The following is a 15,333-nucleotide window of genomic DNA, read 5'->3' as shown; positions in this document are numbered from 1 at the left end:
ATTTTGCCGCATGATTAAAGAAAGGCATGATTCTTACAGTATACTTAGAAGTGAGTTGGTGGCAGTCAGCATGAAATGGAAGAGACATTGCAGTTTTCTGACCCAATAAAATATGAAATAAAGTATCATGATGTTATTGGACATTTTCATCTGGTGGGTCTCTGCATTAGTAAACATCTCATAGAAGGATAAATGTCAAGAGAAAGATGTGACACAGAAACAAGGGAACATGGAAACTCACTGCATCATTGCAGGCAGCACTCGGCATCAGCTGTTAAGAAAGCCGTTAAGGAAGCCAGCCGCTGACGTGTGTTTGACAAATCCCAGGGGTCAGCACCCAGTAACCTGACGACTGACCTCTTCTTATCCATGAAACACATTTCCATGGACAGGAGACCTCTTTGCCTCTGCATGTGCCTAAGTGAAAATTCAAACTCCCAAACAAAACGTTAGAGAAAGCCTTTTGTGTTTTGTTTTCTAGCCATCAATTACTTCCTGCTTGGCTAGCAAGTGAGAACCAAAACTATCCACACCCCACACAGCTTACTGTCTACATACATGACTTTACTATTTCATTGTCATCACTAGCACCATCTTAGTATGCCAGGAGAGTCTTGTCCAGGCAGATAATTTGACTGTTCATTATAGGAACTTCTCAAAGGACCCAAAGAACTCTCATAAAAAGAATTCATCAAGAGCAGTTTATTCCCTAAAATTCTTTAAGTCTTCTGCCTCAAAAATCCTTACCTTGCTATTTCCACCAATTCTAAACTTTTCTATCATGATCCTTACCCATTCTAATCAAGTCCTCCCCATTGAAAGATCTAGGTCTGCCTTAAATCAAACTTCCACTTCTCAACAAATTCCAACCATGCTTTGCCCTGTTCCAAGACACCACCAAAGCTGTCAAGGTGGTTTTCTTCCTTACTGCAGCAAACAATAAATTCAGTTTTCTCTCCTCAACTGGTTGTGTGCTGGTGATATTTGGAGAGTCAGAATTTGACAAAAGGAATCCAAAGGTCAATAGCTTTATCAAAAAGCCAAGCCATACACTTTAACTCTGATATTCTAAAGTTTTTAAAAATGAATTATTCTCTAATTGCTTCAGTTGCTAAACTTAATGGATTCTTTTCTAATTGCTCCAATTTTGCTAAAAAACAAATATTTTTGGAACACCTGTAATGTTCTTAGTTAAGGCTCCAAAAGAAGTCTCCTGTCCTTAAGCAGTTTTCAGTCTGAGCAGGCACCCAATACACATGTTCAGTTAATTGTTATAATAGTTATAATACAAATTTGAGAGATTTGTGGACCTGGACCACGGTGAGCCTAGCAGCTGAAGATATCTCTAAGCAAGAGGGTGAGAAGCAAGCTTCAGCAAAAATGTCAGTTAAGAATGAAGGAAAATACATGAAGCATTCAGAAAATTGTAACGAAATGTCAGCAACAAAGCGCCCCTGATAATATTAGCCAGCTCCTCTTTACATTCCACTTAGATTTGGTTTCTATTCCTGAGAAAGCTCTTAACTCCTTGGGATTGTACAAACTTATCTAATAGCTCCTAGGCTCTGGAGACAGACTTTGTCTTTAAATTAACTATATATGAACAGAATCTACTGGGCCCAGGACTTAGGAGGTGTTAGTAAATATTTAATGAATGACAGAAGGGATAGGACAGGGATGAAGACCGAGGTACAGAGACCAGGCTGGCGGTTACTGCAACAGGCCCGCTACTCAGATTCTGCTAATGAGCAATTTACAACCAAAGGTGCAAAATTCAGCAGCTCTCTTGACCAGGTGGGGCATTGCTTTGCCCGTTTCATGCATTCACCTTGTCTGCCCAACACTATTACATGCCCCTTGGGACCTGGCTGGGTCATCTGGATCTTTACATATGGGGCATATATTCAGGCCCTAACCATGTTGCTTCACTTTTCTGTGCCATTGCACACTTGTCTCTGCATACTAGAAAAAGATCTGCCTGTCCACCTCACCTTCATCCCTGTCCCCACAATCTACCCTATCTCCACCCTACCCTCATTGCAGCCCCATCCCTGCTCTCTACTCCACTCCATTCCATTTCTGCTCCCATCTCATCTCCATTACTGCCCCTGCTCCACCTCTATCTCTCCCATACTCCTTTGCTGCCCCTATCCCACCTTCATTTCCACTTCCTCATTCCTACTGCCCTGTAAACTTAGCCTTGCCAGCATCTCCAGGAAGCTTTCCAAGACACAGGCAGAGGCACAAAATTCTTTCTCTAAGAGGAATTCTAGCGTCACCAAGCTGTCAATTCCACAATGCTAGGAGTTTTACCCTCTTTGTTCTCTCCTACATGTCCAGCACCTAGCACAATGCCTGGTGCACAACAGAAACTCAATAAACGCTTACTGAATAAATGAATGCTTCCAAGGCACTTGGCCCTAACACTGTTTTAAGACTTTTTGCTCTGAATTGCAACATCTGGTTTATGTGCGTGTCTGTCTTTCTCATTACACCAGAAGAAAATGGAAGGTGGAGACCATTTCTTCATGGCTTTGTGTCTCTGAGGCCCAGCACATGCCTGGCACATAGTGGGTGCTCACTATTAATGGGTGAATAAAAGGGTGAGTGCAGTACGCTATTGCCATGCTGGGCACTCAGTATAGAGTCTCAATAAAAATGTAGATTGCCCTGGTCTAGAGATCTCTATGCCAATTAAGAGAATTTTTTAAATGTAATTTGAAAATCTGCTTTAATCTACTAACTAGTTCTTTCTCTGTTATTTCAAGACTTGCCCACATGCTTCTCTGAGGAGTCACATCTCTGCACTTCACCCCCTTCCTCAAAACACACCCCCGCTTCTGGCTTGCCATTTCTCCTGCGAGGTCTCCTGTGCTGATCTCTGTGACTGACGAAATGCCCATGATAGTGGGCTATGCCAGACAAGCCCCTGTCTCCTCCTGAGCCCGCTGGTGACCACTGACCTTCGCCTCTTATTCATACAGGGGCCTGCCCTTGACTGGTACTTGGTGCAAATACCAGCAGTGTCTACTGTTTACCCTAATGTGTTTCTAGAAGGCAGATCATCATTTCCTCATAGGGTCAGCATTGTATTGGAGAGCTACATTTCAAGGTTGTTCTCTGGGAACAAATTAGTGAAAAATAAATCACAGGTATGGCAAACAATTTGTCATAGAAGCGAAGACACAACAATAAATCCCTGTATACATTTTTAAAGCCTTATAAAGCAATGAAAGAAAAGACCTAGAAAACAGGCATAAATGTCCTATATACATCAATTACATGGGGGTGCCATATATCAAGGTTAAGTCTATTACATTTTAAAATTTGGCCTAAAATAAATATGTAACTCTAGTATGTGTGTTAATTAAACTTTTGATTAACAAATTATCTTGCTTGCATCATGGAAATAAGTCAGTAGGGGTTTTAAAGAGTGATAAGACTAATAAAAACTCAAAGGATCTAGGGATATGAATCAGTTTCTTCTTTTGTTCTCAAATTTCCATGTTACAAAAAAAGGCATGTAAAATCATGTCATCATATTATATAGACTCTAAAATGGGAATTATAAGGACTATGGGAACATAGAAAAATATACAATGTAACATTTAAAACAAAAAATCAGAATAACATATGGATGCTGATTGGAACAATGCAGTAGTTTACATGTACGAGTAAGTTAACATGTAACAATAAAAACAGGTGTGTTAGGATGATGAGTCATGAATGATTTTTAAATGATTATTCTATAATTTTTTAAAAACTATCACATTGACACCCAATTTAAATAAAGGGAATGGATGGGCGGTAGGGGAGCTGAAGCCATTTGATAAACCTAAGATCTGTACACAGATCTTATCTGTGTTCTTATCTTATCTGGCTCTTAGGAAACTGGTACCTTTTGGGATATGTCGCCCACTCAAAAATTTCTTTTCTTTAATAAGGACTGACTCAATATTTGTCCACTGCATCCTCTCTGATGTTTTCAGCTTTTTCAAACCTTGAAGGGCCACTGCTACTCTGAACTAAAAGTACAGCAAACCCAAAGGAAATGGAAGATAGCCATTCTCTCCTTCACAGCATTTGTGGCTGATAGATCTGGACACTTCATCAATGGTGATCTTTGAAACAATTACCTGGCCATTAGCATCAAGTTTTTAAATGAAGCGGCCAAACACTGCCAGACTCCAGCAGATGCATGAGTTCAGAAGCCTAATTAAATCACAGTGTTAGAATAAAATCTCATAGCCGGTGTGGTAGCTCACGCCTGTAATCTTAACACTGTGGGAGGCTGAGGCAGGAAGACTGCTTGAGGTCAGGAGTTCAAAATCAGCCTACACAACATAGTGAGAACCCCATCTCTACAAAAAATAAAAGTCAACTGGGTATGGGCGTGTGCCTGCATTCCCAGCTACTTGGGAGACTGAGGTGGGAAGACGGCTTGAGCCCAAGAGTTGAGGCGACTATGAGCTATGATTGTACCACTGCACAGCCTAAGGTGACAAGAGTGAGACCCTGTCTTTAAAAAAAAAAATTCCCATAATGCCATAGACTAGTAATTTATAGAATTCAACTATATGCTAGTGAGACTAGGTAACAGTTCAATAGTTCGGGTAATTCTGACTTGTAGTCAGTATGAGAATACAAATGGAAGGCCACATAAATATTTTAAAGTTACAAACCAAGCTGATGAATTGTTCAATAAAGTGTTCTATCCTCCTTCCCTGACAAATACACCTTCATAATGACCATTTTTTTGAGAGAGGGTCTCACTCTATTGCCTAGGCTGGAGTGCAGTGGGGCAATCATGGCTCACTGCAACCTCCACCTCCCAGGCTCAAGCGATCCTCCCACCTCAGCCTCCCAAGTAGCTAGGACTACAGGTGCATGCCACCACCAAACCTAGATAGGTTTTGTATTTTTGTGATAGAGACAGGGTTTCCCTATGTTGCCCAGGTTGGTCTCGAACACCTGGGCTCAAGAGATTCACCCTCCTTGGCCTCTCAAAGTGCTGGGATTACAGGCTTGAGCCACTGTGCCTGGCTGACAAAATTTTAAAAATATGTTTAAAGTTAGGGTTTTATATGACTGAAAGTCACAAAATACCAAAGATCAGCAAATTGACTAATCATTGTACATGTCTGGGTGTTCTGTTAATTCAGATATTCCTCAACTTACTGTGGGCCTACATCCCGATAAATTCATCATACATTGAAAATAACATAAGTTGAAAACACATTTAATACACCTAACCCACATCATAGCTCAGCCTAGCTTACCTTAAATGTGCTCAGAACGCTTATATTAGCCTACGGTTGGGCAAAATCATCTAACACAAAGCCTATTTTCTAGGAAAGTGTTGAATATCTCATGTAATTTATTGAATACTGAACTGAAAGTGAAAAAAAGAATGGTTGTATGGGTACTCACAGAGTGCTTTCTCCCGAATGTGTATCGCTTTTATGTCATCCTAACATCAAAATATCATAAGTCACTCCATCGTAAGTCAGGTACCATCTGTACTTTAGTAATATTGGATGAGTTACGCAATAAAAGCATAAATAATTCATAAGTTATTATATATTTGTTTCACAAAACTAACTTTCCTTGCTTTCATTTCAGCAAAATTGCTAATGTTATTCAAATCAATAGTTTTAATATAATGTTTATTCTAAAATAAAATGTGATTGTATTCAATGTATAAAATTTGAACATTTGTAATAAAAAATTCAAATTACATTAAATTTTAAAATGTAAATGAAAATTAAAACATAAAATATTAACTATACTGAATATATTCCAACTATTTATATCAGAGATATTTAAAGCTAATTTTTATTCATTTTAATGTAAATTAAATCTTATTAACCATTTAAAAAATAAGAGTATTCCTAATTATAGCAGTCCATGCCTCTCCAGTTGCCAATGCAAAGAATCAATATTGCCTAAATATGCAGAGTGAAGAGCGATATAAATTTTTTAATGTTGAAAAAATGTTCCTCAGTCACCATGTGCAAGTGTTGGGAATCTGTGAATATCTCCGAAACCACAAATTGTAAGAAAAAAAAGCAGCAAGGAAATGGGCACTCAGTACTGCTGTGAAACCACAGTTCATTATACATGAATCTATTGCATCGCTGATATGTGAGAGGAAGCCTCCGACAAGGTAATTCATTTGTTTTCTCTTCTTACCTAAGCAGTTTTGCTGCTTAAATCTTCTCTGAAGTCCAAAGCTGTGTCTGACTCTGCCTTTCACAGGGGCATGAGCCAAAAGCCTTCCTGGCAATCAGACAGGCCCACCTTCTGTTTCAAGGACGCAGGACCAGAGATGAAGGAAAGCATTTCCCTGGGGCCTGAGCGGTGTTAATGGCGGTCAGGGAGCGGACATTTAGAGCATCTGTGTGCTCTTTACAGGAAAGGAGCCCCCCTCCACCCCCACGCCCAGCCATAAGGACTCAACTGCAGAATCCCATGTCTCTAAGGCAGGCAGCAAATTTGAGATGAGACCTGGGCATCTACAGTTGTCTACATGGGTTTGTTGCAACGACCTCATGCTTCTAAGGGAGTGATCAGTCACCACTCTGAGTGAAATGTTTGTTTCACGATTTGTGTTTTTCTATTTCTTGGACCCAACTACCTCTCCTGCTTTCCAACTGAACAATCACGTCCCTTTTTCTAAGAGGGAAGGAAAAAGTGGTTGGGTGGTACTCACTGAGACAGGGTAAAATTGGGTCTCCAATGTAATCCCTTGCTAAGTGATTTTCAAGGACAATTGTGACTCTACAGGCTTTTTTGCCTTGACACTGACTTTAGAACCTGAAGTCCCAAAGCAAAGAATGAAGAAAAAAAACTGCATTTTCAAGGAGAAACACCCTGGGAACACACACCATAGGAACTGGAGCAAAATCATCTCCAGAAGCAGGTGAAATTCATGGGTGTGAGTGCAAGCACACGGCAAGATCTCCCCTCTGCGTGAAGAGCGGATTAAGGTATTTTGTGACTTTCAGTCATATAAAACCCCAAGCCTGAGTCTTAGATCATTAAGACACAGAAAGTTTCCCCTCAGAGGTTATTGACAATCTCCCATCAGTTCTAGTCACATCTAAACTTAAATTAGTTTAAACTATTGCTTTCCTCCTAGCACCTAGCATAACAGCTAAATGGAAGAAATGGAAGCTTCGGTGTGATAGAGAAGGGGAAGAAAAAGAAAAAGAAGTCAAGTGTATTAATCACTCCATTCATTAGGGCCCTGCCTGGGGCCCTTCCATTGCCACTTCCCACACACAGCACCAAGCCCAGCATTTCATTTTGCTGGTTTGTTAAGTATAGATGACTCCCTGACTTGAAGGGGATTCAAAGTTTTATCTTCCTGGTATTTTCAGTTCTTTCCATGGTAGGCATTCAATAAACATTTGCTATCTGCAACAACAACAACAACAAAAAAAAAAGCATATATGCATGAAAAGAAAGTCTGTACTGGAAAATGAATCCAGATTCTTAACCAAGAGTTTGAAAGCTAACTTTTGAAATGCAGCGTATCTGTAAACAGGGAACTGTCTGCCCTGACCATGATCCCTCCCAGGGCTCTGCATCCCACTTGTTTGTATATGCATCTCATTTCCTGTTCTGGGAGCACACAGGGGTTGAAGATGTTACCCTCACTTTGGGCCCAGAACAGAGGCTGGCATATAACAGGCATGTAACTATACTTATTTGTGAAAAAAATCAAGGAATAAAGAAAATAAACAGTCACTTGAGGCAGGCTTCTTATGAGCATGGCTATGGATCAGCCTGCTTGAGTTTTTAATTTACTTAAAAATTTCTCTTGGCTGAGACCTTTACCCACATAGACAAACAGCAGAGAAGAGCGTGTCCTTCAGGCAGACAAAGGCAAGTAGGCTGGAGGGAATGTGGGGCAGGACTGCTCTGAGCACCCCCACCACACACACCGGTTGTGGAAAGTCACGCCCTGCAAGGGCACATGTGCCTCTCATATCCTTCCTGGGTCTTGTTGCAACTGAGCCACTTTAGCCTCTTTTGACTTTTTTTCATGACAATTTTGCCATTATTATTATTATTATTTTAAATCTCAGTGACTGAAAAAGTTTCAAACTAGGACATTCTCTAAAGTACTTTGGCTGAGCACGCCATGAGTTCCTTCCTTCCACACTGACCCTGATGTCAGTGGTTGTTAAACTTTGTTAACTAGTGGATCCCTTTCCATTTCCACCCTCTCATTAATCCAAGCACCGCGTTGGTATTTACTTGCCCACTTTTGGAATTCAAACTAATGTCAAAGCCATTTCCAATTGTTCTTCCTCTTTCCTGCATCAATCTGTCACCCAACTTATACATCCTTCCCCTAAAAAGCTGCCCCTGCATCTCAGTTCACACCCCTAGGAAGGAGCAAAAAGGGAACTGGGATTGGAACCCAGCAGTCCAGCTCCAGGGTTCGTGTTCTCATGTCACCACCCCTTTGCCCTAGTCTAACCAAGAACCACAATTCAGGTTATTGTGAGGGCAGGCGAGAGATGGTTTTCAAACCTTTCTGCCACAATAGAACTCACTGCAATTAACCACTGCTAGAAAACGGCCACTGGCCCTTTGTTCAACATTTCTATCAGTAGGGGCACTAGCAAGAAAAGGACTCTGTCCTTTGGAGATGGCTAGGGTCCGTGACCTACCATCAGCACAGGGGGACTCTGTAATATTTCTCTAGGACTAGGGCTGAGCTTCAGGGAGTCACCTACCATCCACAAACCTTTGTTAGGAGGGTTCTGTGGTCACAAGATACAAAGTAGGATGGGAATAACTAGGTGTCATGTTTCGATGGAACCCACAAGCTGTAACAATGCACCTTGGACTCCAATCCCTTTGTAGACAAATATGGGAGGCAGCCTGGAGCAGCCCCATAGGAAGTGGGCATGCTGTGAGAAACTGGAGACAGCACAAGCAGTCCAGCGGTGTTCAAATTCTTTAAAAAACAAGCAGCAAACACTGAGCCAAACAAACAAAACATATCCTGGCCACCACTAGCTCCTAGGCTGCCTTGTTGTGAAAACTGGTTGGTGACTCAGGTTAATGGATAAATGCTTTGTATTCCCTAAGATTTTTAAAAATCACTTCTCTCTTCAGAGCCAGCTAAACCTGTGCTGAAATGGAACCACTTCAGCAATAAGCCTCCACAGAATCATCTGAAGCAAATTAAAGTGTTTCTCTCAAAACAATCCTTTTTCTGGAAGGCATTCAATCAGGGTACTCCTTCAACTCTCTGTTTTCTTTCTGAGTGGTAGCTTTTTGCTATATGGAAAAGATAAGAACAATCTCAGACCTATCCAAAGGCATCTAATTTTCCTGTGACAAAAGTCCCACCATTGTCAAGTGGAGCCGCATCTCAGCAGCCTTTCAACAGGATAATCTGTCCTCCTTCACAGCCATTTACCAAGCGCCTCTTGGCATATTGCCTCAATGATGTTTGAGGGGTTATTTCTACCCAGGTACCTTTATTTTGAGCTGCACATTAGCCTGTCATCAAGACACTGTTACCACAAAAAAATAAAATAAAATAAAGAATTAGTTGCTCACCTTTGGTTTTCTCTTGATCTTTAAAATAAACAATGGGCTTGACACCATTGTGATTTTCCGAGTTTAACTGCTGCTTTAAATCAAATTTCACATCTAATGCTTGTTACGAATGGCCAGGTGGAGCATGAAGAGAAATCGTGTTTGTGATTTGGCCTCCCAAGCTATTTATGTTGGAGAAACAGAAAGCTGCATCCTGGGGGAATACTCTTATGAATGTTATTATGAATAGCATCAGGGCTCCAGCCTAGCATTTTGGCATTTGCCACTAATCACTTATGCGCCACATGTCATCAGAATTAAACATACACATGCTCGCTGCGACATATTAATATGCTGCCATGGCAGAGCAGGGGAATTCCGACAGCCATGGAAGCCAGGAAATGACTAATGGAGGCCTACTTTCCCCTTCTCTCCAGGGCTTGGGCCCTGTGTACCCTCAGGGTATGACAGAAGGGCCTGGAGAATGACTAAAGGATGATGCAGAACTAAGGAAGACCTTCAACTTGAAACAAGGATTGTATACTTTGAGACTTAAGGCATCAGTTGGTAAATTTTTTTCTTTAAAGGGCCAGATAGTAAATATTTTAGGTTTTATGGGACCACATAGTACTGTCGCATATTTTTTTTTCTACAACACTCAAAAAAATGTAAAAAAAAAAAAAAAAAAAAAAAAAGCTTGCTGACATTACAGGTATCATGAGCTATATAGAAACAGGGATTGCCCATACGTAATTTGCTAACCCCTGACCTAAGGGAATCAAGTGGTTGTCTGCCAGTGACCTCAAGCCAGCAGGGCATGTCAAACTTAGGAAAGCAGTGTACTGAGTGACTTGAGCCTGCAGTCTCAGCTACTTGGGAAGCTAAGACAGGAGGATCACTTGAGCCCAGGAGTTCAAGGCCAGCCTGGGCAACATAGCAAGATCTTGTCTCTAAAAACAAACAACAACAACAACAAAACCCCAACAACTTATGAAAGCACTCAGGATCCTCCTATTGGAGTCAGAGCTATGACCTAATTATATATAAGCATGGTTTCTACATGAATGGTTGGACCTTGCGTATCTGTTTCCATCTCTAAGTGACCCATGATCCTTCCAGTCAGGAACTGAAAATACCTGCTTCAGATTAAATGCTGCCTCCTCCAGGAAGGCTTCCAGGATTGCTGCAACACTCCGTCCCTTCCCTGAAACCCCAATGTTTATGGCTGTTGCCAGACTTTTGGCAATACTGTTATGACAACATGACCTCTAAATACTAACCTCTTAGTAACACTTCATGGTTCACCAAACAGTTTCACTAGCCAGGATAATATCACTCAGGCTGCAGGTGCAGCCCCAGAGTTAGGCTCTCAGAGGTCAAGTATGTTGCCCGAGGTCACATTACTAGGAGGAGCCATCTAGCTCCAAAATCTATGCTCCCTACATACAGCACTGGGGGACCTGCCCCTAATTCTCCCTTGACATGTCAGCCTTCCTTCCCTGGTGTCTTGCAATTTCCTTGCAGTCAAGGAACATGTCTAATGCCTCTCTGTAGCCTCCCAGTCAGAGCTGGATACCTACGAGGCCCAGTACATAATGTCTATTCAGTAAATACCTGGGGTTAACTCAGAGCTGAAGCCCATGGAGGCTGGCAGAGAAGACCCCCAAAGACTATTATGACACAAAGTAGAAGAGGAGAGTGGGGCAGCCTCTGCCCGCCAACCCACAGGCCCAGACATGACACGGAGCAGCTGCCTCAGGAGGTAGCACCGTGGGAGCAGAGCCAGGGCCTACACTTCACACATTCTGGTCTCCACGACCCTCCCCAGCCAATCACACACACTCCCTGCATGTCTCTTCTCAAATGCTTCCCCAGGAGCATCTATGAAGGAGTATGGTGTAGTGCTAAGGCTTTCAAAATGTATGTCAGACTTACTCATGATCATAAACTCAGTTTACTGGCTTCAGATTGGCATTTTCGTTAATGAAATGAATAGAAGAGAAAAGATCAAAATGCACTTCACATTCAAAGGTAAGGATGGGTGAATATCGTTCAGTGAAACTTTTGTTTGCTCTGCCTGTGCGGGTGTGTGCACTTGTGCATGTGTGTGTATTGTCTTGCTATATCAAAGTTTAAGCAACTCTAACACAGTGGTTAATACTGCAAGCTCTGTAGCCAACCTGCCTGGGTCAGATACACCTCAGGTTCTTAATTGCTGTGTTACCTGAGGCAAGTTCCTTAAACTCTCCGTGTTTCAATTTGCTTATCTCTAAAATAGGATAATTAACTGCACCTGCCTCATAGGGCCTTGGGAGAATTCAATGAATGAGCATACAAAAAGATCTTAGAACACCTGGCACATAGCAAGTAAATTTTTTAAAACGTTAGTTAATATGATTAATACAATGATCCACATAACCACGCTGCGGGATGAGGAGACACACTGCTGTTATCTGATTTGATTGATGGAAACTGAGGCAGAGAGAGATGGACCGAGCAGAAGCACCAAGCCAGCACCAGCCTCTTCTGTCCCCACAAGTCGGCAAGCACCATGCCACATCACTGAAATTCCTTCAAGCCGGGGGGCTCTTTACTAAGCTGAATATAATCACAAATACTACCCACCTCTGATATTTCCCATCTCTGTGATGAGGATGGATGATACATTGTAAAGTGCTGAGAGCACCTCACAGACAAGTGTGATATAAATTCCAAATGTCATTTTAACGTTCTCATTATTATTATTAAAATGGCCAAAATGCGGAGAACATGACTCCAGCAGCCTCGAGTTTTAATGGGCCTCAAAAATATGAATTCTGGGGACAATTGGTTACCATGGTGCCTACATCTCAGATGGACTAGCATGACATAAGTAATGTCTAAACAATCAACTGTTTACTTCACAGTGAAAGTCATTTTTCCCTCCCTGGGGCAGAGTTTGTTTTGGAAATAAAGCTGAGCTTGATGACACTCTTCCAAAAATTCATTTTGATATATCGATTGCCTTGGCCAATAATGCCTTGGCCTTACAGGTGCGTGAAGAAGGCATCAACGTGGTAATTTGTCAAAAGCTCCCGCCTAGAATGGGCTGCCAGGGCCTGGAGCTGCTGCTCTTGCTCTTCCAGTAACTTCTCACAGGACAAAGGTCAAAGGCAAACAATTTCAAAAGCTTAGGGACTCGGGGGGCCTCAGGGCCTAAAGCTCTCTTTCTGGAATGAGCACACAGCTGGGGCCACCTGAGAGTCTTTCAGAGGCTCCTTATAGCCATCAGGAATTGCCCTTCCTGGGCTGACACTTTTGCTTTCTGAAAACGAACTTAAAACATTTTTCTATTGTATCAGACATTGACATACAATGGAATGAAAAGCAAATGTCCATGCATCTTTACTATATAATCTTCACACTCTTTCTATTCCTTGGAGTGCTTAAGTCTGGAACCCATATCCCCTTCATGTCTTATGTCTATGGGGACTTTTGAGACAAACTCCTCAAGTTTACCACTTCAAGCTTTACACGAGAAAATATGTGGAGATTTGCTCAAAATGTTACAAGTCTGTGGCCTGGCAATGACTAGAACCAAGTTCTCTTGAGTCCTCAACCAAAATTCTTTCTGTAATATCACAAGGTCACTATAGGCAACTACAGTTGACCCTTGAACAGTGCAGGCATTCAGGGTCTAACACACCCTTCCCTGCACAGTCAAAAATCTGTATGTAACCTTGGACTCCCCAAAGACTTAACTACTAATTACCTACTGTTGACTGGAAGCCTTACCAATAACAAACAGTCGATTAACACATATTTTGTGTATGTATTGTATACATACCATAAAGTAAGCTAGAGAAAGAGAAAGTTATTAGACAATCATAGAGAAGAGAAAGTATATTTCTGTTTACTAAGTGAAAGTGGATCATCATAAAGGTCTTCATCCTCATCATCTTCATGTTGAATAGGCTGAGGAGAACGAGGAAGGAGGGGTTGGTTTTACTGTCTCAGGGGTGGCAGAGGCAGAAGGGGTGAAGGAGGTGTGCGGGGAGCAGGAGAGGCAGGCACACTCGGGTCAACTTTACAGAAATACACCATAATTTCTGTCTTTTTTGCCTTTGTATTTCTCTAAAGATGTTTCCATATGGTACCAGCCCTTCTTTCACCGTTTGCTTTACTTTCAGTGTCTGTGTCTGTATCATAGAATGATCCATGTAGTAAAAGAAGCCAAAAAGAGTCTCGAATAATTAGAAGCTTTGGCCAGATTGTCTAATATTGTCCATTTGTTTCTGGCACTGCTTCTTTTATGTCATCTTCCTCGTCATCTGGCGTTGATTTGGAAGCACTCATCTCCGTCAAGTCATCTTCTGTTATTTCCTCTGGTGTGGTGTCTTAGCTCTTGTATGTCTCTAAGACCCATATCTTGAAACCCTTCACCCCCACCTGATGTTTTGCCATATCCACAATCTCTTTTATAATTTTCTGAATCGGCTCTATTGTAAATCCTGTGAAGTCATGCATATCTGGACAGTTTTCTCCACCAGGAATTTATTGTTTTGGGCTTGGTGGCTTTCATGACTTTTTCTGTAACAATGATGGCATCTTCAATAGTGTCATCCTTCCAGACTTGGGGTTTTCTTCCATAATGCTGACAATCCTTTCCATAGAGTACCACGTGTAATGAGACTTAAAGGTCTTTATGGCCCCAATCTAGAGGCTGAATTAGAGATGTTCTGTTTGGGGGCAAGTAGACCACTTCAACACCTTCAGTGTTGACCTCATGGGGCTCTGAGTGGCCAAGGGCACTGTCCAATATTAAAAGAATTTTAAAAGGCAGTTCCTTACTGGTAAGGTACCTCCTGACTTCAAGGACAAAGCATCAACATAACCAATCCAGAAAAAGTGTTCTTATTGTCCAGGCCTTCTTGCTGTACAACCAAAAGACTTAGCAACTGGTGTTTATCTTTTCCCTTCAAGACTCAGGAGTTAGCAGCTTTATAAATAAAGGAGTTCCTGATTATAAACCCAACAGCATTTGAACAAAACAGTAGAGTTAGCCTATCCCTTCCTGCCTTAAATCTTGATGCTCACTTCTCTTTCTTACTAATAAACGTCCTTCATGGCATTTTTTTTCAGAATAGAGCACTCTCATCTGCATTAAATACCTCTCCAGGCAGATATCCTTTCTCCTCAATGATTTTCTTAATGGTGTACAGGAACTCATCTGCTGCCTCTTGATCATCAGAAGCTGCTTCTCCTGTTATCTTGTCATTTCTTAAGCCAAATGTCTAAAATTATTAAACCATCCTTTGCTGACATTAAAGTCTCCAGCTTTAGGCCCTTCACCTTCATTGTGCTTTAAGTTGTCATATAATGACTTCGCTTTTTCTTGAATCATATTAGAGTCTATAGCAATTGCTATTTCTAATAGCAATCCTGCACCAACATAAAAGCTGCATTTCCAATACAATATAAAAAACTATTCTGCAAAAAGTATGAGGTTGTCATGCCTGCTGGCATAGCTGTAGTAATAGCAGGCATGACAACCTCACACTTTTTGCAAAATACTTCTTGCAAGTGACGGCTTCATGAATTTTTTTTTTTAATGGTCCTTACACTGGAGTCATTTATCTTGAAATGGAGGGCAACTGCAGTTGCAGACTTCAATGTATAGTACATGTCAAAATTCAGCTTTTTCTTGTGATATCATGACTTTACTTCTTGGCAGCACTTCCAGCACCACTAGTGGCACTTTGTATGAGTCCCATGATGTTAGTCAAGGTT

At 41.4% G+C, this 15,333-nt stretch overlaps 1 protein-coding gene and 1 non-coding gene across 2 annotated transcripts in view, besides 1 other annotated feature; both read right to left on the bottom strand.

The window, feature by feature from the left end:
* The window catches only part of GPR39 (G protein-coupled receptor 39), a 229,778-nt gene that overhangs the window by 197,750 nt on the left and 16,695 nt on the right, over nt 1-15,333 (bottom strand). The gene's annotated exons all lie outside the window — the stretch shown is intronic.
* Nucleotides 9,843-10,137: an enhancer, noted in NCBI's record as "tiled region #6766; HepG2 Activating DNase unmatched - State 8:EnhW". NCBI's record gives its function as "activates a minimal TATA promoter and a strong SV40 promoter by Sharpr-MPRA in HepG2 cells {active_cell/tissue: HepG2}" and the evidence as "EXISTENCE:reporter gene assay evidence [ECO:0000049][PMID:27701403]".
* Nucleotides 15,013-15,122, bottom strand: MIR9986 (microRNA 9986). Its single transcript, NR_162099.1, has one exon. It is a non-coding gene; the product is annotated as a microRNA 9986 (primary transcript).

Source organism: Homo sapiens, chromosome 2 (assembly GCF_000001405.40).
Source record: "Homo sapiens chromosome 2, GRCh38.p14 Primary Assembly".
Lineage (NCBI taxonomy): Eukaryota > Metazoa > Chordata > Mammalia > Primates > Hominidae > Homo > Homo sapiens.
Note: the sequence above shows the minus strand (reverse complement) of the source record. Positions and strands in the feature narration are given on the sequence as shown.